The sequence below is a fragment of the Homo sapiens genome, chromosome 7, assembly GCF_000001405.40.
Source record: "Homo sapiens chromosome 7, GRCh38.p14 Primary Assembly".
In the NCBI taxonomy this organism is placed as follows: Eukaryota; Metazoa; Chordata; class Mammalia; order Primates; family Hominidae; genus Homo; species Homo sapiens.
The window spans coordinates 6216491-6241193 of record NC_000007.14 but is presented as its reverse complement, the minus strand read 5'-3'; the positions used below and the strand labels follow the sequence as shown (position 1 = coordinate 6241193).

The 24703-nt window shown below is 43.2% G+C and overlaps 1 protein-coding gene across 3 annotated transcripts in view, besides 2 other annotated features; it reads left to right on the top strand.

Annotated features, from left to right (window-relative positions):
- CYTH3 (cytohesin 3) overlaps nt 1-24703 on the top strand; it is a 110846-nt gene that overhangs the window by 31431 nt on the left and 54712 nt on the right. The window lies entirely within an intron of this gene.
- Nucleotides 12602-12896: a silencer, noted in NCBI's record as "tiled region #15593; K562 Repressive DNase unmatched - State 5:Enh". NCBI's record gives its function as "represses a minimal TATA promoter and a strong SV40 promoter by Sharpr-MPRA in K562 cells {active_cell/tissue: K562}" and the evidence as "EXISTENCE:reporter gene assay evidence [ECO:0000049][PMID:27701403]".
- Nucleotides 17300-17920: an enhancer, noted in NCBI's record as "NANOG-H3K27ac-H3K4me1 hESC enhancer chr7:6262905-6263525 (GRCh37/hg19 assembly coordinates)". NCBI's record gives its function as "activates a minimal SCP1, AML or CMV promoter by ChIP-STARR-seq in naive H9 embryonic stem cells {active_cell/tissue: H9 hESC(naive)}" and the evidence as "EXISTENCE:reporter gene assay evidence [ECO:0000049][PMID:30033119]".

Genomic DNA, 24703 nt, shown 5'->3' with positions numbered 1-24703 from the left:
TTTGGTTTTGTTTTTGTCGTGCAGAAGATCATGTGTGTGTTTAATGCAACCAAATGTATTTCTTTTTTTTTTTGAGATGAGTCTCACTCTGTCGCCCAGGCTGGAGTGCAGTGGCACAATCTCGGCTCACTGCAACCTCCGCCTCCCAGGTTCAAGCGATTCTCCAGCCTCAGCCTCCTGAGTCACTGGGATTACAGGCACATGCCACCATGCCCAACTAATTTTTGCTTTTTTTTTTTTTCAGCAGAGACGGGGTTTCACCATGTTGGTCAGGCTAGTCTTGAACTTCTGACCTCGTGATCCACCCGCCTTGGCCTTCCAAAGTGCTGGGATTACAGGCGCGAGCTACTGCGCCTGGCCTCCTTTTTTTCTTTTTTCACACCTAAATTATGAGTCACACTTAGAATGGAAGGCCATTCTAAGATTATAAAAGAATTTGCCGATGTTATCTGTTTTCTTCCTGTACTTCTGTGTTCATGTTCTACATTTAAATCTTTGAATTGTTTGGAGTTTATTCTGATGTGTGGCGTGAGGTATAGATACAGCTTCAACTTTCTTTCCCCAAAAGGCTGCATTGTCCCAACACCAGTTATTAAAAAGTTCATCTTTACCTTGCCACTTTTATCATATATTAAAGTACCATCTGAGTCTTTCTGGATTTACTATTCTGTTCCATTCTGTCTATTCAGATGCCAGCATGACATGGTTTTACTTATTGAGACCATGGTATTTTAGTATCAGTTAGGGTTAATCTCCTCCCCTCCCCACCTCATTTTTCTTTATTTTCAGAGTTTTCCTGGTTATTCTTGCTTGCTTGTTTTTCCTTGTGATCTTTAGAATCTGCTCATCAACAGAAAAGAAACAGCTTCTGATCTCATTCTTTTTTTTTTTTTTTTTTTTTGAGATGGAGTCTCCCAGGCTGGAGTACAATGGCACGATCTCAGCTCACTGCAACCTCCACATCCCAGGCTGAAGCAATTCTGCCTCAGCCTTCTGAGTAGCTGGGAGTACAGGTGCCTGCCACCACACCTGGCTCATTTTTGTGTTTTTAGTAGAGACGAGGTTTCACTGTGTTGGCCAGGCTGGTCTCGAACTCCTGACCTCACGCGATCCACCTGCCTTGGCCTCCCAAAGTGCTGGGATTATAGGCGTGAGCCACTGCACCCAGCCTCTAATTTCATTCTGATTGCATTAAATATATAAATTAACTTAGAAAATGTATCTTTATGATGTTGCAGTTTCTGATTACGTTAAATTTATGAATTAGAAAGTATATCCTTATGACATTGCAGTTTTCTTTCCAAGAACATGATATGCCTTATTTGTTCAAGTCTGTTACCATTCAAGTGTGTTAGTTTTCCTTCTACTTACATATGTTTTATGCATTTATTATTAAATTTATTTGGATATTTGGTATTTTATTGCTATCATAAATGAAGTATTCTTTTCTACTTTAGTGTCTAACTAGTTATTTGAATTTATGAAAGCTATTGATTTCTCTATATTAATTTTATATCTCATTTGCTTAGCAAATTATCTTACTGTTTTTAGAAACGTTTTTCATTTGCTTCTCTTGGATTTTTCCACTTACACAGTCATTTCTTTAGCAAGTGATGGTTTTATCTCCTCTTTTCTAATTTTTCTTCTGATTTTAGTCTCTTGTCCAATTGCATTGGCCAATGCATTCTGTTTTGAAAATGTTCACTTGGACCCTCCATATGGAGATGTAGGTTTGGAGCTTAGGAGAGATAGTAGGGCTAGACATCAACTTTGGAAGTCATTGTCTTAAAGATGGTGGTTGAAACTCTGGGAACTTATATGTTGGCTAAAGGGGAGAGGTCAGAGCTGGGGATGGAGACGGGGCAGTGGTGGGCAGAGACTAGGAAGGAAGGGCTGCGTCTTCTCTTCTCTTTCTCTCTTCCATTTCCCTCTTCTCTCCTCTCCCCTCCCCTCTCAACAAATATAAAGGTTGTCTTGATGAAGTATAAAGGTTGCCCTGTTGCCCAGGCTGGAGTAAAGTGGTGCGATCATAGCCTCACTGCAGCCTCCAACTCCTGGCTCAAGTGATCCTCCCACCTCAGCCTCCTGAGTAGTTGGGACTACAGGCATGTACCACCATGCTTGGCTAATTTTTGTATTTTTTGTAGAGATGGGGTTTTGCCATGTTGGCCAGGCTGGTCTTGAGCTCCTGGCCTCAAGCAATCAGCACGTCTTGGTCTCCCAAAGTGCTGGAATTACAGGTGCTAACCAGTGTGCTTGGCTTTTTTTTATTATTATTATTATTTTTAACCTGGAGTTCTGATTTCCAATCTTTTCCCCTTTTAAATAGACTTTATTTTTGGAGCAGATTTAGGTTCACAGCAAGAATGAGCAGAAAATAAAGAGCTCCCATATACTCCCTGCCCCCACGTGCACACAGCCTTCCCCGGCTGTCGACACCCTTCACCACAGTGGTCCATTTGTTACAGTCGATGAACCTACATTGACATGTCATTGTCACTTGGAGTTTTCATTAGGATTCACTTTTGGTTATGGTACATTCTATAGGTTTGGGCAAATGTTTAATGATGTAATGATGAGTACCCACCGTTATAGTATCATCCAGAACAGTTTCACTGAAGGGCTTTCTTTTTACATTTACTTTTGCTTACTCAATATGCCTGCCTGTTTGTATAGGTTATTGACATTATCTGTAATGTATTTACTAAGCATACAGCTTAGTGTACTTTACTAAGCATAGTACTTTCATTAGTCTTTATTGAACTTCATCTTGTTTGTTAGCCATCATTTCTTTAATCTTTCAATACTTATTTCTCTGTCCTTTTGTTCTTTTTAGAGGAGGAGTAAATCATTTCCTTTAGTAGAAATTGTTTAAACCTGTAGGGAGGAATTGTGCTTCAAGGTTGTTTCTTTTGATTATAAATGAATGAATTAAATGTATACTAAGATTCACAATTAAAAAAATATTGAAGTGAATTTAAAAAGCAATGCAAAAGCTCACATCTAACTCTTAAAATAGTAGTAGTTCATTCTTATTCTGGTTGGAGTAAGTTCTGTGGTCATTTTCCTGGATTTCAATAATAACCTCTAAGGAGACTTGATGAAGTATACAGATTGTCTAGGATATTTAAAATGCATTTTCTTCTATAAATTAGAATGTTACAATGAGTGGGGACCCTGGTATCTTTACCTATAGCTGACTCTATACTCATTGCGTAACATCTCAGCCAAACTGATTTGCAGGCCAGATTCTAGCATTATAGGATGATACTTGCACACGTGTTCCTCAGCCTTGGGTTTGCCACTCCTGCTATCCTTGGAAGTTGGCTGACTTTTGAGACTTACAGGAAGAGAGTAAACATACATTTACAAGTAGTAGTCAAGTTTCTGTGTATTGCTTGGACATATACGTGGAACCTTCTAATTGGCAATAATACTTTTGGAAATAAACATTGCATGTGTGGTTTTTTTTTGTTGTTATTTTTTAGATAGAGTCTTGCTCTGTCGCCCAGGCTGGAGTGCAGTGGCGCGATCTGGGCTCACTGCAACCTTCTGCCCCCCGGGTTCAAGTGATTTTCCTGCCTCAGCCTCCTGAGTAGCTGGGATAACAGGCGCGTGCCACCATGCCTGGCTAATTTTTGTATTTTTCGTAGAGACGGGGTTTCACCATGTTGGTCAGACTGGTCTCAAACTCCTGACCTGGAGATCCGCCCGCCTCGGCCTCCCAAAGTGCTGGGATTACAGGTGTGAGCCACCACACCGGGCTGCATGTGTTTTTAATAGAAATCAGATGGGATGGGAAAAGGTGGGTGCTTCCTTCTTTGTAACTAATTTCGTCAGTGTAGTAGATTTATTTTCTCAGCCTTTTATCAGTGGGATGTGAGCTGTCCTCTGAAAACTAACATAGCTCAGACTGTTCCCCAGGCAACTGTGTTCCCTGCGGCAGTGTTGTTGCACTTGTACCTCCAGTGCCTATCAGACCAACAGTTCTAGTCTAAAAGTGGATTGAGAAGACAGTTTGTGTAGAACTCGCTCTGGGAGAGCTGAAGCAACGCCTGCCGAGGCGGGAGCTGCTCTGGTTCTAAGTGCTGTCTCCTTTGATCAGGAATTCTTTGAGCTGCTTCTCCAGCAAGTACTCCTCTGCTTTGACATGAGCCTTCTGTGAGCCGTTGTGAAAAGAAATGCATTTCACCAAAACTCGGAAGCTGATCTAGGCCTACTGACCATGAGAGTCTTTGTAGAACATTAATTGGGAAATTTGTAAATTTTGAAAATCTCTTTGAAACACTACTTCATATGTAACAGGTACACTGTCAGAAAAATGGAGACTTGGCCGGGCGCAGTGGCTCACGCCTGTAATCGCAGCACTTTGGGAGACTGAGGCGGGTGGATCACTTGAGGTCAGGAGTTCAAGACCAGCCTAGCCAACATGGTGAAACTTTGTCTCTACTAAAAATACAAAAAATTAGCTGGGTGTGGTGGCATGCGCCTGTAATCCCAGTTACTCAGGAGGCTGAGGCAGGAGGAGAATTGCTTGAACCCAGAAGGTGGAGGTTTCAGTGAGCTGAGATCATGCCACTATACTCCAGCCTGGGCGACAGAGCGAGAATTTGCCTAAAAAACAAAAACAACAACAATAAAAAAGAGGGGTGGTGGACTTAATCATAAGAAATAGTTATTTGCAGGCCAGGCGCAGTGGCTTATACCTGTAATTCCAGTGCTTTTGGAGGCCAAGTTGGGAGGATTCCTTGAGCCCAGGAGTTCAAGACCAGCCTGGGCAACATAGCAAGACCCTGTCTGTACAAAAAGTAAAAAAAAAAAAAAAAAAAGTCAGGCGTAGTGTGCGCCTGTAGTCCCAGCTACTCAGGAGGCTGAGGTGGGAGGATTGTTTGAGCCCAGAAGGTCAAAGCTGCAGTGAAGCAAGATTGTGCCACTGTACTCCAGCCTGGGCAACAAAGCAAGACTCTGTCTCACAAAAAAAATAAGGGGGGGGTTATTTTCTGTTAATATATCCTATATATTAACATTTCTAAAACCCTTGTCTGTGTCTGCATGATACAGTTTAAGATTCCGCAGCTGTCTTCATCCTTTCGGATGTAATCCTAGAGTAGTTAAGTATCAGGTAGTCAGGTTTGCTGAAGCTCTTAATTGTTGGAGGGGATATGCATGTGTGACTTCGTGAATTGGCTAGGCTGGTTTCATTTTTAAGCAATAGCCAATCCTAGGTGAAGAAATGTGAATATAAACATTTCAAAATAATTTCTTTACAGCAATAGATTGGAGCTACTGCCCTGTACTGATTCAACTTACTCGTCGTTTTGTTTTGTTTTGTTTTTATAGCGGGAGACTTTTCTTCTTTTGGTAGTATAGAGTTGTGGGAAGAGAATAGAAAACTCCACATTTGAGTGGGGTTTCTGTCTCTAATGGCTTTATAATTTGCTTGATTTCCAAGACTAGAAAAAATTGTAAATGAGCAGCAAGATACTACCAGCTGTTGTATTGCTTTACTCACATGTGACATGTTGTATTTTTTATTTCAGTGTAGTATCTAACGACTCCCGTGTATAAGAAAGAACCCGTGGTAGGTTTCTGAGAAGTACGGAGTTAGGCAGGACCTAGGGGCCGCTCTTAGGGAGCTTCGTGAGGATGCTGTGGAAATAACTGGCTGAGATGTGGTGCATGATCTAGCAAGCACTAAGCAGTTTTTTTTTTTTTTTTTTTGAGATAGAGTCTCCCTCTGTCTCCCAGGTTGGAGTGCAGTGGTGCAATCTTGGCTGACTGCACCCTCAGCCAGGTTCAAGCGATTCTCTTGCCTCAGCCTCCTGAGTAGCTAGGATTACAGGCATGTGCCACCACACCCAGATAATTTTTGTATTTTTAGTAGAGACATCGGTTTCACCACTTTGGCCAGGCTGTTCTTGAACTCGTGACCTCAAATGATGTGCTCGCCTTGGCATCCCAGAGTGCTGAGATTACAGGCGTGAGCCACTACGCCTGGCCCACTAAGCAGTTCTTACTGCGTGGATCAGGGCAGGTGCTGGGAAAGGTGGTCATCGAGCCTTAAAGGATAAGTGACAGGCATTCTGTGAGGAGGAAATATACATGCGCATGGCAAAGGAGCATGATGCTCTTGGGGAGTGAGTGGTGGGTGTGAGTAAGGTTTTGGTGGGATATGAAATTGGGAACATCATTTAGGACCAGATGCAAGGCACTGAAGTGAGGGATCAGAGGCTCTCATTTTCTTGCTGAGTAGCTGGGGAAGAACCATTGATAACTGAATGACCTTCTTTACCAACTTGGGCCACGTCTCATATTCTTATTATTATTTTCAACAAATTACTCAAGCTCTCTTATTACCAATTAGCAGGAAGTCCAGTGTCTCCTTCAGGGTGACTTTTCTTGACCAAGAATTGTCCTGTAGAACTCCAAGGGTTGATCTTGTTCAAAGGGGTTAGCCCTGCCACGCGGTGGGAGAGCTGGAGGGCCCTAGAGCTACAGCTCTCCCAGTTTGCACTCGTGCACCCAGTTCTTACTCACTAAGTACAGCTGCTCAACAGGTCACCGGGTCCCCAGGGGCTTCCAGTCACAGGTGTGGGATGTCCCGAGACCAGCCCTCTTCATGAGCATCCAGGCCTTGGTGTTGAGCCTGAGTCACCCTCCCATGGTGACTTCCTCTATGGGGCTTTTGATGTTCTTGCCTGCAGCAAACCTCAGTTGGGGACATCAGTAAATCGTGTTCCTTTTGAACTTCTATTGGGAAGGAATGAGGGCCTCTCCTTTTCCTCCAATAGGCTCTGTGGCTCAGATGCAGAATTAGCCAGTGAGTTTTCAATTCTTGGGAAGGCAGTCCTTGGTCAGAACCCAGAAGATACTTCTCTTCTTTTTCCAGGGCAGTGGGTGCCTCCTTCACTGATCTTTGGATAACTAAGAGAGGGCCACTCCAGAACTCTCCCTTGTTAACAGGGATCTCCAGTGGCCTCTAACACATGGGAAGGTCCCCCTCACAAGACTCCTGCTGCACTTGATAAAGGTTACTGGATAGTTGATCAGTTCTGCGATTTAGAAAGATAATGATATGATGTTGTAATGGATTGAATATTAATGTACTCCAAAACTCCTGTTAAAATCCTCGCCCTGAGGTGATGGTACTAGGAGGTGGGCCTGATGGTACTAGGAGGTGGTTCTTTGTAGGTGATTAGCTCATGAATGAGATCCTTGTACAAGAGGCCTCAGACAGCTGCCTTGCCCCTTCCACCAAGTGAGGACACAGAGAAAAGGCAGCTGTGCAAGAACCAGAGAGCAGCCCTCACCACACACTGAATCCGCCGGCACCTGGATCTTGGACTCCCCACCCTCCAGAACTTGTAAGAAATTGATTCCTGTTTACAAGCCACCCAGTCTTTCGCATTTTGTTATAGCAGCCCAAACTGACCAAGACAGTTAGAAAGATGGGACTGGTGGTAAGGCCCTGAAACAGGGTAGACGCTGGGACTGAGATGAAGAGACACATTTACTGAATTTTTTTTTTTTTTTTTTTTGAGATGGAGTCTCGCTCTGTCACCCAGGCTGGAGTGCAGTGGCGCGATCTCGGCTCACTGCAACCTCTGCCTCCTGGGTTCAAGCGATTCTCCTGCCTCAGCCTCTCGAGTAGCTGGGACTACAGGTGCCCACCACCACGCCCAGCTAATTTTTTGTAGTTTTAATAGAAATGGGGTTTCATTGTGTTAGCCAGGATGGTCTCGATCTCCTCACCTCGTGATCTGCCCTCCTCGGCCTCCCAAAGTCATTTACTGTTTTAAACAAAACAAAAACTAGTTACAAAGGTAGAATTGGCAGGATTTGGTGACCTCTTAGATATGGGTCAAAGCTAAAGCTTGTCTAACTTGATAGTAAAGACTTGAAGGCGTGGAGTAGGAGAAACAGTGTGTAGAGGATAAGGTAATTAATTCCTTTTTGGACACACTGATATATCTGCAGTCCTATTGGAGATGTCTAGCTGGCATTGAGTATACTGGTGTGCTGAAAACCTAGGTGATCACTAAAGTTGAGAAAGCAACTTCAGAGAACATTTAGAATGAGGAAGGTAGACAACTGGAATGCAGCCTGGGGAGCTGTAGTATTTAAGGAGCTTGGGAAGAAAGAGGAATCCTGTGATACCAGGAGGCTGAGAGAGAATGGACTGTAGAAGTAAGAGAGTAGAAGTGGTAGAGTGGTTTCAACTGAGCCAAGGGGCAGAGGGCTGCAGGGAGGTAGGAGGTGGGGGTCAGGAGTACCAAATACCATGGCTAAGAGGCTGGCACCCGAAGTGGATGTAAACTCAGGGCTCCTAGTTGCAAATCACAAAAAATGACTCTGGCTAATTTAAGTGTATAAGGAAATCATTGGAAGGGTGTGGGGGAAGTTACAGAACCTACAGGAAGTACAGAGAGCCACGCCCAGAAAACTGACCGTAGACGAGGGAAGCGGGACAGTCAGAACCACAGCCGCAGCCGAGACCACACAGTCTGGCTGAGGTTGCCCAGTGGCTGCTGCTGCAGCCACCACTGCTACAGTCCTGGCTGTTGCTGGCACTGGCAAAATGATTTCCAAATTGTCTGTTTCTTGTCACACTCTTTTTGGTCTGAGCCCTGGGCAGAAGTTTGGGCTTCTGCGATTGGCCAGGTTCACAACAGGAGGCTGCAGGGAGAACCAGGACCTGGCTCTTTTGCTTCTGTGATGGCAAGTGGTCCATCATTACAGGCCATGTGGTCCACCTGTCACGATAGCCTTAGAAGGAGCAGGGGAATAGCAGTTGGGAGAAGAATAAATGGAGAATAGGAAGTGGGAGTGCCGGGTAGAGCATCTCCAAGGCCAGCAGTCAGACTCAGAGCTTGCTTAATCTAAGAGTGTGTCCCGGGGTGCTTCTTGTAGTTGCAACTCTTAAGGCCTCCTTGAATCTGGCTGTGGTACTCCCAAGATTGGAGAACCAATTAGCCTGCTGGTTTGTTTCAATAACCAGAATTGTGCATATGTCTGGAATGAGTTTAAGGGTGGTTATGCTTATCAAGGATTGGGGATTGGCAATGGGTCTAGTGGAAGGGTAAAAGGTAAGACAGCCATTCAAAAAAAGGTGCATCTTGGTGCTGAACTGGGAGGGAAGCAAAGTCTTGAGGGTGCAGAGAGATCAGGAAAAGAGGCAAGTTTAAAACTCAGATGCAAACGGGGGCAAGAAAGCAGAACAGGTAAATTGTTGCAGGTTATGGCCAGAGAATAATTTCTCTGGAGATCAGGCTCGTTGGAGAGCCTGTTCCGACAGTGAAGATTCAGGTGGTGTTAGCAGGGTGCCTTGTGGCCCGGGTCCCGATGCCTTTAAACCATTATTTGAGCTCCTGCCCTTTGGTTTGATCATGTGCTCACATGACAATTTTCCAATTATAAATGGGATCCCCACTTGGGGGATAATAATCATGTTAATATCTAGGATTCTCTTACCTGTGATAAGTTTTTATTTGTTTCTATGAATTGATCAATCAGCATTGAGAGAATGCAGTAAACTATATGGCCAAAGACTCATATTTGTTTGGTAGCTGTTATTTCTTATTGTTAATTTATACATGGGCACACTGGTTTGATACATACATTTCTCCAGTGTGCTGAATGTGTGTGTGTACCTGAGAGGTGGATCTGTTCCTGGCACGTAAAGCAGTCCTGGAGATGAGCACTGCTGGGTGAGGCTGCCTGGGAGACACCCCGGCCTCACCACCCTGCAAAGACTGAGACGCTGTCTTGACATCATCTGAGCTGTGAGCAGGCTCTGCCCTCCTGCAGGGCTCTTTGGAGTCTTCGTGCTCACTCTGTTTCCTTTGCCCAGGAGGCTCTTCTCCCAGTCCCCACTCTTGGTCTGGCCAACTCCTCTTCCTCCTCCAAGTCCCTTTTCTCTTTTCTCTCGTAGAGTTTATCAGTGTTTTGAAATAATACATTTGAGTGTTAAGTGCTGCGTTCCCTACTAACTAAACAGAAAGCGTGAGGAGGGCAGAAGCCCTCTGCCCGTCCCCACTCATGCATCATCCGACTGCAGACAGTTGTCTGGAGAGAGCAGGCAGGCAGTAGTGTTTGATGAAGTCTAAGGCGTGGGTTAGTACAGGTGAGAGGGGAAAGGCCTGGGTAACTCAGGGAGCCGAGTGGCTGGGGTGACTGTGGGGAAAGTGAAGGCACAGTAGGAAGTCTGTGAGAACAGCTCTGTGTGGAGCCACAAAATCACTGATTTCAAGATGAAAGTGGCCTTATTGACTTTTTTCCTGAGATTGTGTAAGTACAGGCTCTTAAAAAAATTATAGAAAATTACAAAGAAGAAAATAAACATTACCTATAATCCTACCGTTATCAACCTTTTGGTTTGTATAACTTTTTTCAAAATACGGGATTTTATGTACTTAGAGTGTTGTACCCATTTTTTTTCATTTACTATGTTGTAGACTTGTTTTCATGTAGTAAAGGTTTACCTTGTCATTACATGGCTGCATTGGATCCTTCTCATGTAGTAAAGGTTTACATTGTCATTATGTGGCTGCATTGGATCCGTGGCATGAAACTTGCTGTGTCTAGTATTGTGGACGCTTAGGTCTCTTACATTTTTTTCACCGTGTAAACCCCACTGTGATGATTATTCTTCCTGTTGTAATTTCAGTCCCCTAAGACACAGAATTTTAAGTCTGGTGGCTAATAGAGTAAGCAGAATGATAATTAGGATTCCAGGTTTTTATTTTTGACTAGTTTTGTTTCTTTGGGATTTGCATTAGTTATTCTATACAGCTTAAGTTCCCTTTTCCCTGCGGTAGAACGGGAATAGGTATCTTAACTGTAGGTGCCTGAGACTCTGCTTTATGGAGATATACTCCTTGTAAGTTTCCAGCTGAGGCACCAATGTTAATAGTGGTTAATATAATCAGAACAATAATAGCAACAATAATAACGGCCACATGCATCACTTTCCATTCGGACTGAGTTTGTTTGGTGGTCTCACAACCATCCTTGAGTTGAGATGGGTTTTTTTATTTTATGTTTATTTTTATTTATTTTTGACATGTAGTCTCACTCTGTCGCCCAGGCTGGAGTGCAGTGGCATAATCTCTGGCTTATTGCAACCTCCACCTCCCAGGATCAAGCGATTCTCCTACCTCAGCCTCCTGAGTAGCTGGGATTACAGGTGTGCACCACCACACCCGGCTGACTTTGTATTTTTAGTGGAGACAGGTTTTCACCATGTTGGCTAGGCTGGTCTCGAACTCCAGACCTCAAGCTATCACTCACCTTACCTTTCCAAAGTGTTGGGATTACGGGCATGAGCCACCCAGCCCAGCCTGAGATAGATAATTCCATTTTTTTTTTTTTTTCTTTTGAGACAGGGTCTCTTTCTGTTGCCCAGGCTGGAGTGCAGTGGTGTGATCTCAGCTCATGGCAAACTCCGCCTCCCGGGTTCAAGTGTCTCTCTTGCCTCAGCTTCCTCTGTAGCTGGGATGACAGGCACCTCCCACCATGCCCGGCTAATTTTTTTTTTTTTTTTTTTCAGTAGAGACGGGGTTTCACTATGTTGGCCAGGCTGGTCTTGAGCTCCTGACCTCAGGTGATCCACCCACCTTGGCCTCCCAAAGTGCTGGGATTACAGGCGTGAACCACTGCGCCCAGCCCTGAGATATGTTCTATGAGCCCTACTCGACCGCTGGGAAAACTGAGGCTTAAGCAGATTAGATAACTTGCACAGGCTTGTAAGGGTGCAGTTGGGCGGTGGACCACTGTTGCTTGTTCCTGGAGTCTGCCGCAGCAAGCACGCTTTCTTCATTCTGTGTGTCTCATAGGAAAATGAGCACACCTGATATCAGTGAAGTATAATTTCTTTATAAGTTTAAAGAGACTGTTTTTAAACTAGAAACAAATGTTTTGTCATTATTTAGACATATGTAAAATTAGGTGTTAATTGTTTTTCTTTGGCTATAGAGGAGTAGCAGATGAAGAGAAGCAAGTAAGGAGAGGCTGGCATTCTGGCCAACTTTGATAACGACATAGTTCCTCTTTAGGTCCTCTACACTTTATTTGGCTAATTCAGGTTTTACTTCTGTTCCACTGTTTTATTCTGTTGCTAGACAGCTGTTAAACATCTGTTCCCTCTGCTCAGAGGGGGTGTGGTTATCTTCATATGTCTACACAGTGGCTTTCTGTATCCTGTTCGTATGTGCCCTAGGAGCCTTCAGAATAAAGGGGCTCGGACAGCGATTGCACAGTGTCTTATGTTTTCCTTGTCACTGCATCCTCAATAACTCACTAATTACCAATAAAAATGTCTAACAAAATTAGATATTTTTCCCACCAGAGGAATAAAGGAAAAGAAGATAAGATTAAGTGGAAGGAAGAAATCTATTTAAAAAGGGGCGGATTTTTACATTCTTAAAAACACAGCCGTGTTCTTGAGTGTGAGGGAATCCTTTTGTGGATCTGGTCTGTGGGAGGGGTTGATAGAAAGTGTGGGAGGACCCTGCTCAGAGCGGGAGGCAGCCCGGATTTCCAGAAGCGAAATGTTAAAGTTGAGCATGGTTTGGATGCAGATAAGAAGTTCTTTTGCTTCCTCTACTTGTGTTAAAACTGTTCATTTTTTATTTTTAAGGTCATCTGGGGGGAGTTTCTTTGCTTCCAGCCTGGATCTCTCAGTGTGGCCTGACCCCTGAATCCTACCCTCCCACACAACTTGAGAACTTGATTCTTTTCTCACAAAGACTTCTTTCCAACCCCTCCCCTCCCCCTAGAAGACTCCATATTTGGAGCTGAGTATTTTGAACAGGGCCCTGGCCAGAGGGCATGTTACATATGTTGTTCTGTCCCATGTACATGGAAAAGCATAAGCTTTAAAGCAAATGTATATAAAAAATGGAAAAGGTCCCTCTAAGCCAGGGACACATGATTTTCTGTTATGAATGTGCTGTACTTATATGATCATTCTCTTTAACTTGCCTCTTTGAAACTGGAAAAAAGGTGAGCAGAAATGGCTGGAGGTAATGAAAGGGAATAGAGAATCAAGGAAATAATTTCTTTGACCATTCTTTTGTGAGCCTTGGGTTAGCAGAGTTAAATACTTAAATAAGAACATAAAATAAGGGAAAGCTTCACATTTCCACATTCATTATTAAATACTTTTTAAATAGGAGAATGAGTCAGAGTGAACCCTAGCAATTATCTCGTTGTTGTTGAAATCTAGCCCACCTACCACATTTTCATAATTAAACACAGGCCTGAGGCAAACATCAGGTTCTCATTCTCCAGAAAGTGAGCACTTGTATACCCTGGTTCAGCCGAGGTCCAGTAAGGTTACTTGTTCACATTCACTGTGGAATTCTCTGCTTGGGAAACCATCATGTTCAGGAACATTCTCAATAAAGTTTATGAGATATCGTATTGGCCTGGAACATGCACAGAGAATTTGACAACCCGTTTGGGTGGAGGAATACAAACTTCGTAATTATTGAAAACATAGTTGTTGTAAATGCTTCCCTTTGGTTTGCTTACTTGGGCCCCAACCAGAGGTTTTCCAGCCTTGGCAAAGCTGCCTAAAGCCTTTTGTGTAGAGTAAGGGCCCTGATAGTGGCATCCTCGTTTTGATTCTGTCTGTAGTGGGAACGCTTCCAAGTCTGATGCTTGTTGTAGGTTTCTGCCAGAGGTCCTTCACTTAGGTTAAGACATCTTCTATTCTTAGTTTAATGATTTTTTTTAAATCAGGAAGGGCTGTTGAATTTTATCAAATGCTATTTTTCCATCTATTGAGATGAACATATGTTTTTCATTATGAGCCTTTCAGTACTATTTGACTTTTTTTTTTAAACCATTTGCACTTATTATATCCACTGACTTGAGGCTTAAAATTCCTTCAAAATGCTAACTTTACAACCATCTTCTGCATGTGTTTTTCTTTGAATATAATTTTTCCATCAATCTGTTCCTATCTGCTTTCTTTTTTTGTAGTGATTTCAGCATCTCTGGGCTGTTGGTGATTTTTTATTCTTTAAAAAGCCTCTTCTATCATTTCATGGGTTTGTCAAGAGAGCGGGCACACCATGTGCCAGCCCTTTCCACTTTTTTTTTTTTTTTTTTAGACAGAGTCTTGCTCTGTTGCCCAGGCTGGAGTGCAGTGGCGCGATCTCAGCTCACTGCAAGCTCCGCCTCCCGGGTTCACACCGTTCTTCTGCCTCAGCCTCCTGAGTAGCTGGGACTACAGGTGCCCGCCACCACGCCTGGCTAATTTTTTGTATTTTTAGTAGAGACGGGGTTTCACCGTGTTAGCCAGGATGGTCTCGATCTCCTGACCTCGTGATCCGCCCACCTTGGCCTCCCAAAGTGCTAGGATTACAGGCATGAGCCACCGCGCCCGGCCCCCTTTCCTCTTAAACCAGTCTCTAGGACTTTAAAAATGCCATCCTTCCTTGCTCAGGTTCTGCTGCATAGGAACCTTCAAGTTCTTACAGCCTTTGAGATGTTGTGTTGCTTTACTTTGAGATGCTGACTGAGAGTCAGAGTTGGGAATACAAATACTCACAACACGGGTTGAAATGTTGGGAAGTAACTTAACTAAAAAGTTAATCAGGGCATTAGCCATGGAGTGGCTGGAAGAATCCTCACTGGGGCTTCAGCCAAGACTGCCAGCTTCACCTTCTTTCCTGGACTGTGAGATAAAAAGCAGATGGATTCTACTCCAGCTTGCCTGCCTCGCCCTAAAATAGCACTCTCCCACCTCCCCACCCTCATCTAAACATTAAATTCCTCAAGTGTTCCACCTTTTAGATGTTTGTGAATGGGAAATGGAATGCCAGATGTTCTACAGCTGTATCCAATCTGCAGAAGACAGAGATGTGGTTCAGGCTTCCCAGCAAGGAATGAGGAAGTATCTCCAGTGCTTTCTAATCAAAGCATTGCAGGGAATATTGTTTGTGGGTGTGGATGTGTGTGTACAGGAGGACGTCTGGATCTTTAGGGAGACCTCTCAGAGCCCTTCAGTTTTAAAAGGAAGCCAATCACAGATGCATTGCTTTTTATTTTTAATTTTTTTAAAAAACACATTCCTTGATGTAGGGTTTGCTAAGCTAGGGACATGGGTTTATGTTCTCGGCCACCTAGGGATGAATGTTTCACATTGGGTTCTCTTTGTTTAAAGACAAAAATTTTTTTGTTTGTTTTTAAAAAAATTTCAGGCTGTGTGTGGTGGCTCACACCTGTAATCCCAGCACTTTGGAAGGCTGAGGCGTTGTGGTCTTGAGCTCCCAAGGTCAGGAGTTCAAGACCAGTCTGGCCAACATGGTGAAACCCCTTCTCTACTAAAAATACAAAAATTAGCTGGGTGTGGTGACACACGCCTGTAATCTCAGCTACTCAGGAGCCTGAGGCAGGAGAACCGCTTGAACCCAGGAGGCGGAGGTTGCAGTGAGCTGAGATTGCACCTTTGCACTGCAGCCTGGGCGACAAGAGTGGAACTCCATTTCCAAAAAAAAAAAAAAATTCTTCAAAAAAATATATATTTTCAGGCCATGCTCGGTGGCTCATACCTGTAATCCCAGCACTTTGAGAGGCCAAGGTGGGTGGATCACCTGAGGTCGGGTGTTCGAGACCAGCCTGACCAACATGGAGAAACCCTGACTCTACTAAAAAACACAAAAAATTAGCCTAGCATGGTGGTTCATGCCTGTAATCCCAACTACTTGGGAGGCTGAGGCAGGTGAATCGCTTGAACCCGGGAGGTAGAGGTTGTGGTGAGCCGAGATCGTGCCATTGCACTCCAGCCTGGGCAACAAGAGTGAAACTCTGTCTCAAAAAAAAAAAAAAAATTTTTTTTCCTTCATCTTAATGTAGGCTCTATCTTAACAGTTTATCCCATACCTTGACCTTTGTATCCAGAACAATTTCTATGCACAATTCATTGGATATGTGATAGTAAATATTTACATGTCTTTGGACAATATGATATATATAATATTGTACTGTCTTAATTTCAGGCTTTATTAATAATAGACATTCAATAATGATAGATTAATAATTTGTTTATAATTTGTTTTGGAATTACAGCCATCACCTGATCTAATTTTAGAACATTTCTTCACCCCTAACAGATCCCTCACTCCTGTTTGCAGTCAGTCCTTACCCCAGCGCCAGCCACTGGCTAATGTGGTTTCTGTCTCTATAGATTTGCCCTTTCTGATATTTAACATAAATAGAATCAAGCAGTATGTGGTCTTTTGCATCTGACTTCCTTTACTTCACATAACGTTTTCAGGTTTCATGTATGTTATAACATATCCATAGTTTATTCTTATCTGAATATCCCAGTGTCAGGAAATACTACAAGTGTTATCCATTCATCCATTGATGGACATTTGGTTTGTTTCCACCTTCTGGCTATTGTAAATCATGCTGCTATGAACATTCGTGTACACATACTTGTTTGGATACCTGTTTTCAGCTCTTTGGGTATATACGTAGAAGTAGAATTACTAGTGGTTCTATGTTTAATTTTCTGGGGAGCCACTAAATTGTATTCCACAGCGACAAAAATGGAACCATTTTCCATTCACGCCAGCAATGTATGATGGTTAAATTTCCTTACATCCTTGCCAACACTTGTTAGTATGTTTTTTAAAGTATAGCCATCCTAGTTTTAGCTCTTATGCTAGGTCATTCACTCATTTTGAGTTAATTTTTGTATATGGCATAAGGTAGGGGTCTAGACCCTCATTCTTTTGCATGCGGATGTCCAGTTGTCCCAGCACCATTTGTTGAAGAGACTTGTTTTAAATACTTTTAATAATATATGGTTTTGTTTTTAGGCTCTATAGTCGGTTCCATCAATCTTTTTTTTTTTTTTTTTTTACCTATTTTTGCAGCAGTGTCACACTTTGTTAATAGCGCTTCAGGGACTGTGTACATATTCCATGTATACCTACTGACTCAAGGCTCTTAATAGCATTCAGGTCATCTTTGTCTTTGTTTAAGAAGCAGAATTAACCAGGCATGGTGGTGGATACCTGTAGTCCCAGCTACTCAGGAGGCTGAGGCAGGGGGATCGCTTGAGTCCAAGAGTTTGAGTCCACCTTCTCATTTGCTTTTTTTCTGTGTGAAGACGTGTTTTTGCTTTTTGTGCAATGGAAAAATATGTGAATAGGATAACAGTTGTGAATCAGTAAGGATTATATATGTGGAAGCAGAAAAGACAGTATTAGCATCATTCATAGGGTTGTATGATTTGACTGCTGTAGTTGTGTACATGATCTGTCTTGCAATTCTGGAGAATTAATCTGGGCATAAATACTGCATCTCCATTTTTTTTTTTTTTTTTTTTTTTTTTTTTTAGTATTTATTGATCATTCTTGGGTGTTTCTCAGAGAGGGGGATGTGGCAGGGTCATAGGATAATAGTGGAGAGAAGGTCAGCAGATAAACACGTGAACAAAAGTCTCTAGTTTTCCTAGGCAGAGGTCCCTTCGGCCTTCAGCAGTGTTTGTGTCCCTGGGTACTTGAGATTAGGGAGTGGTGATGACTCTTAACGAGCATGCTGCCTTCTAGCATCTGTGTAACAAAGCACATCTTGCACTGCTCTTAATCCATTTAACCCTGAGTTGACACAGCACATGTTTCAGAGAGCACGGGGTTGGGGGTAAGGTTATAGATTAACAGCATCCCAAGGCAGAATAATTTTTCTTAGTACAGAACAAAATGATGTCTCCTATGTCAACTTCTTTCTACACAGACACAGTAACAATCTGATCTCTCTTTCTTTTCCCCACATTTCCCCCTTTTCTTTTCGACAAAACCGCCATCGTCATCATGGCCCGTTCTTGATGGTCACTGTCTCTTCAGAGCTGTTGGGTACACTTCCCAGACGGGGCGGCCTGGCAGAGGCGCTCCTCACTTCCCAGACGGGGCGGCCTGGCACAGGCGCTCCTCAGTTCCCAGATGGGGCGGCCGGGCCGAGGCGCTCCTCACCTCCCAGATGGGGCGGCCGGGCAGAGGCGCCCCCCACCTCCCAGACGGGGCGGCCGGGCAGAGGCGCTCCTCGCCTCCCAGACGAAGGGCAGCCAGGCAGAGGCGCTTCTCACATGCCAGACCGCATCTGCATTTAAGAGGAGAAGTGAAGCATCCTTATTCATTTTTATTTGCTTCAAATAATGAAGGAAAAAATTACCTGTCAGTAAAGGCTGCCAGCAAGTGTTTAGTTCACTTTACATTTATTAATTATTGATTGATTGACTATTATGAGCAGGCCAACTGGAGTGTTGTTTGAAACTGCCTTTTAAAATGTTCTTTTGTCATATTAGCTGTTTTGTCAAATAAGAGTTAACCGTCACCTGAAAATGTGGAACACTTTATAATAATGTATAATGGTTATATAAAATTGGTTCAGTTTTTTTTTTGCTTTTTTGGGTTTTGTTTTTTTTTTTTTGAAACGGAGTCTCACTCTGTTGCCCAGGCTGGAGTGCAGTGGCGCGATCTCAGCTCACCGCAACCTCTGCCTCCCTGGTTCATGCCATTCTCCCACCTCAGCCTCCCGAGTAGCTGGGACTACAGGTGCCCGCCACCACGCCCGGCTAATGTTTTTATATTTTTAGTAGAGACGGGGTTTCACTGTATTAACCAGGATGGTCTCCATCTCCTGAACTTGTGATCCACCCATCTTGGCCTCCCCGAGTGCTGGGATTACAGGCACCCAGCCAAAATTGATTCAGTTTTAAGACTCAGCAGTTGAGAGTAACATTTGCCTGGGATTCTTCTCTGTATGTTAAAATGTTAATGACTCCTCTCTTCAGCAGGTGTCATCACTGTGACAGGGATATGGGGGGGAACACGAGGCACTTGCCTTGAGAACAGAGACAGAGTTAGGCATTATCGACAGGTGCTCATTTGGTATCACATTTTAAAATGACTAAGCCCTAATCTTCCTTCCGTGATGTCCCTTGACATCTCTGCCTTTGGAAGTCTGGCTGCTTTTTCATTAGCACCTTGATCACATCTCACTCAGAGGCTGTGAAGGGCACCCTGGCAGGAGGGACCAAAGCTCTTTGCCACATACTCTGCTCTGTCCTGCTGCTTTTCCCTGGAATGGCTGCCAGGACCTGTATGACTGGAGGTCAGATGTGTAAGTCCTTCTGTCTGGTCACGAGGGTATAGGAAACATCTGGTTTTTCCTTACCTTATGCAATATAAAGACTGTTTTTTAGTTTTTTTTGTTTTTGTTTTTTTGACAGCGTCTTGCTCTGTTACCCATGCTGGAGTGCAGTGGCACCATCATAGCTCACTGCAGCCTCGGATTCTAGGCTTCAAATGATCCTCCCACTTCAGCCTTCCCAGTAGCTGGGACCACAGACACGCCTCACTATGTCTGGCTAATTTCCTTTTTATTTTTTGTAGAGCTGTCCTCCCACCTCACTCTCCCTGAGTATTGAGGTTACAGGCGTGAGCCACCATGCCTGGCCTAATTTTTTTTTAACTTCATTTTGAACTAATTTGTAGATTCACAGAAAGTTGCAAAGATAACAGTACATAAAGGTTCCACTTGCCCTTCACTCATTTCCTCACACTGGTTACATCTTATGTAACTGCAATACAGTATCAAAATCAGGAAGCTGACATTGGTATGAGGTGTTTGTATAGTTTTGTGTCATCACCCATGCGTAGATTGATGTAGCCACCGCTGCAATCAAGATACAGAACTGTTCCATCACCACAAAGTTATCAGGCTCCCTCCTACTACCCCAGTTGTCTTCTCCTCAACCACCCTAAACCCCAAACAATGACTAATCCATTTTCCACCTCTGAGATGTTATCATTTTGAAATGTCACATACATCAAATTATATAATATGTAACCTTTTCAGACTGGGGTTGTTTCTGGGTTTTTAAAAATTCAGCTTAATGCCCTTACAATCCAACCAGGCTGTTGTGTGTATCAATAGTTCATTCACTTTTATTGCTAGATAATATTCCATGGTATGGATATATATCACAGTTTATTTCTCCATCCACCTATTGTAGAACTTTGGTTGTTTCCAGTCTTAGGATATTACGAGTAAAGTTGCTGTGAACATTCATGTTCAGGTTTTTGTGTGGGCATACATTTTAATTTCTCTGGAATAAATAAATTTCTCAGGTGATATTGCTGGATCACATGGTAAGTGTATGTTTAGTTTTTTTTTTGGAGAAGGGGTCTCACTCTGTCGCCTAGGCTGGAGTGCAGTGGCGCGATCTCGACTTACTTCAACCTTTGCCTCCCGTGTTCAAGCAATTCTCCTGCCACTGCCTCCCAATTGGCTGGGACTACAGGTGCCCGCCACCACGCCTGGCTAATTTTTTGTATTTTAGTAGAGATGGGGTTTCACCGTGTTGCCCAGGCTGGTCTCGAACTCCTGAGCTCAGGCATTCCACCTGCCTCGGCCTCCCAAAGTGCTGGGATTACAGGTGTGAGCCACCGCGCCCGGCTGTGTATGTTTAGTTTTATAAGAAAATGCCAAATTGTTTTCCGGAGGGCTATAACATTTTATGTTCCCACCAGCAATGTATGAAAGATCCAGATTGTCCACATCTTTGCCAGCCTTTGGTTTTTTTTTTTTTTTTTTTTTGAGACAGGATGTTTCGAGACTTTCTCCCAGTCTGTAGCTTCTCTTCATCCTTTTAATGCTTTGCAGAGCAAAAGTTTTTAATTTTGATGTCCAATTTATTATTTTTTTCTTTTATGGATTCTCAGTCACGTTTGTGGATTCTCAGTCATTACTAAGCCTTCGCTCTCAAAGATTTTTCTCATGTTTTCTTTTAAAGTTTTATAGTTTTACATTTAAACTTATGGTCTACTTTGAGTTAATTTTGTATAAAATATGAGGTTTAGGTCAAGTTTCATTCTTTTGCCTATGAATAGCCAATTGCTGCAGCAATATTTATTGAAAAGAATATCTGTTCTGCATTGGACCGCTTTTACACCTTTGTCAAAAATCACTTGGCTAGGCCAGGCGCGGTGGCTCACCCCTGTAATCCCAGCACTTTGGGAGGCCGAGGCGGGCAGATCACTTGAGGTCAGGAGTTTGAGACCAGACTGTGGTCTCAAACATGGTGAAACCCCGTCTCTACCAAAAAAAAAATACAAAAATTAGCTGGGTGTGGTGGTGCATGCCTGTAGTCCCAGTCACTTGGCTCTGAGTGTGGGCTCTTCTGAGTTCTCTCTTCTGTTCCATTCATCTGTGTGTCTATCCCTCTGCCAACACCACAGTCTTGAATAATATAGTTATGTAAGCCTTGAAATTGAGGAGAATAATTCCTCCAATTTGTCTTTTTTTCAAAATTGTTCCAGCTATTCTGATTCCTTTGACTTGCCATTATAAATTTGAGAATGGTCTTTGCTATCTCTTAAAAAAAAACTTACTGGAAATTTGATAGGAATGAGTCTTTTTCATTCCAAGCTAGTGGAGTTTCTACTTTTTGAACATCCTCAAAAACCTTGTGGGTCTCCTCTGTATTTCACAGGGATTTCACAGGGGACAAGAGGGCCCTCCATAGATCTTACCTGTGCGGTTCTGTTTCTATTCCTGGCTTTTGCTGAGAGGGTTGAGGGGATTCATGAGTGACAGGCTTAAATCTCTTCAAAGAGCTTTCTGTGTGAATGGATACTCTCACCTTTTAATTCTTCCAGCATACTAGCAAAACATTGGCCAGCCACACCCTTGTCTTTCCTTAGAGCACTTTTTCCTGCCAGTGAATCTCCTAATTTTATTGTCTTTTGCAATCCATGCAGGCTCAGAATTTCCCAAATTAAGCCCTGGTTCCTTTTTGCATAATAGTTTCTCTTAATTTCTCTCTTCTGCATTTTACTATAAGCGCAAGAAGAAACCAGGTTGCACCTTTAACACTCTGCTTGGAAAATGCCTCAATTAAATATCCAAGTTCATCACTTACACGTTCTGCTTTTCACACAGTTGTAGGAGATAATTCAGCTATGTTTTCTGCTAGTATATAATAGTTTCCAAAAAGAGGTGGCTCATTTCTTTGAGTCCTACCAGCAGTACATTTAATGTCCATTTTTCTACCAACGGTGTGCTTATGAAGATGTAGGTATTCTCTAAGATGATACAGACTTTCTGTACTCTGCTCCTCACTTCTCCTGAGTCCTCAGTGGCAGTTTTTTTTTTTTTTTTTTTTTTTTGAGACGGAGTCTCTCCCCGTTGCCAGCCTGGAGTACAGTGGCACAGTGTCGGCTCACTGCAACCTCCGCCTCCCGGGTTCAAGCGATTCTCCTGCCTCAGCCTCCCAAGTAGCTGGGACTACAGGTGTGCGCCACCACGCCCAGCTAATTTCTGTATTTTTAGTAGAGATGGAGTTTCGCCATGTTGGCCAGGATGGTCTCGATCTCCTGACCTCGTGACCTGCCCGCCTCGGCCTCCCAAAGTGCTAGGATTACAGACATGAGCCACCGTGCCTGGCAAGTGGCACAGTTTTTAACATCCACATTTCTGTGATCTGTTTAAGGCAATCTAGGCTTTCTGTATCGTCATCTTCAAAATTATTCCAGCCTCTGTCCCTTACAATTTGAAAGCTGGTTCCACATTTTTAGGTATTTGTTATAGCTGCACCCTAGTTCTGTATTTGTTTCCCGAGGCTGTTGTAATAAGTTACCACACATTTTGTGCCTTAAAATAGCACACATTTATTCTTGTACTGTTCTAGAAGTAAGAAGTCTGAAATCAGCTTCACTGGGCCAAAATGAAGGTGTCCAATGGGCCGTGCTCCATCTGGAGGAGAGAATGCATTTTCTTCCCTTTCCCAGCATCTAGAGCTGCATTTCCTTGTCCATGACCCCTCTCTCCATCTTCAAACCCAGCAGCCTGGCATCCTGCTTCAGTCATCACGTTGCCTTCTTCTGTGTCACATCTCCTGTGCTTTCTTCTTATATGGACATTTTTTATTGCATTTAGATCCCCTGGATAATCCAGGATAATCATCTCCATTGAAGATGCTTTTTCTTTTCTTTTTGAGATAGGGTCTGGCTCTGTTGCCCAGGCTGGAGTGTGGTGTGATCTCGGCTCACTGCAACCTCCCACCTCCCCGGCTCAAGTCTCCCACCTCAGCCTCCTGAATAGCTGGAACTACAGGTGCACACCACCATACCTGGCTAATTTTTGTATTTTTCATAGAGATGAGGTTTTGTCATGTTGCCCAGGCTGGACTTGAACTCCAGAGCTCAAGTGATCTGCCCACCTCGGCCTTCCAAAGTGTTGGGATTACAGGCATGAGCCACCATGCCTCGCTCTCCATCTATTTTTTTTTTAATCTAAAATTCTTAATTCTATTTGCAGAGTTCCTTTTGTCATGTAAGTTAACATTCACAAGTTCTAGAGATTAGGACCTGGATATCTTTGGGGGTCAATGATTCAGCCTACTACAATTTTCTGTGGGGTCTTGAAAAACATGAATATTATGCTGTTGGTGGGAGTGTTCTATAATCTTTCTGAGACTTTGTTGGTTGATGGTGGTGGTGAGTTCTTCTCTATACTTGCTGATTCTTTGGTTCATTAATTATTAACAAGAGAGAAAGGCATTGAATTCTCTGACTATAATTGTTGATATCTCTCAGCTCTGTTGTTGCTGGAATCACATATTTTGCAGCTTTGTTTGGTGCATATACATTTAGAATTGCTATGTCTTTTTGATGGATCATTATATAGTATCTGTCTCTGGTAGTTTTCTTTGCTCTGAAGTTTACTGTAGCTGTTTTATTAATATAGCCACACCTGCTTTCTTTTTATTAATGTTTGCATGATATCTTTTTCATCCTTTTACTTCAGCCAATATATTCGAATATAAAATACGTGTATTTGAAGTGAGTTTTTTGTAGACAGCATCTAGGTGGGTCATGTATAATTTTTAAATTCTACTCTGCCAATCTTTTAATATTTAACATTTATATTTAGACCTTTTACATTTAAGATGATTATTGGCCAGGAGCAGTGGTTCATGCCCGTAATCTTGGCACTTTGGGAGGCCGAGGCTGGTGGGATCACCTGAGGTTAGGAGTTCGAGACCAGCCTGGCCAACATGGTGAAACCCTGTCTCTACTAAAAATAGAAAAATTAGCTGGGTGTGGTGGCACACGCCTGTAATCCCAGCTACTTGGGAGGCTGAGGCAGGAGAATCACTTGAACCTGGGAGGCAGAGGTTGCAGTGAGCGGAGATAATGCCACTGCACTCCAGCCTGGGTGATAGAGTGAGACTCAGTCACACCAAAAAAAAAAAGTCATTATCGATTATATTAGGGCTTAAGTCTGCCATTTCTTTTTTTTTTTTTTTTCCTGTTCAGCTTTTTGTTTTCTTTTTCCTGTGAGTTACTTGAAGATTTTTTAGAATTCCAGTTTGACATATGTGTGTGTATGTATGTGTATGTGTGTATATACACATACACACATTTTTTTGAGATGGGGTCTCACCCTGTCACCCAGATTGGAGTGCAGTAGTGTGATCTTGGCTGACTGCAACCTCTGCCTCCCAGGCTCAAGTAATCCTCCCACCTCAGCCTCCTGTGTAGCTGGGACCATAGGTGTGCGTCACCACACCCGGCTAATTTTTTGATTTTTTTTGTAGAGATGGGGTCTTGCGGTGTTGACAAGGCTGGTCTCAAACTCCTGAGCTCAGGTAATCCACCCACCTCAGCCTCCCAAAGTG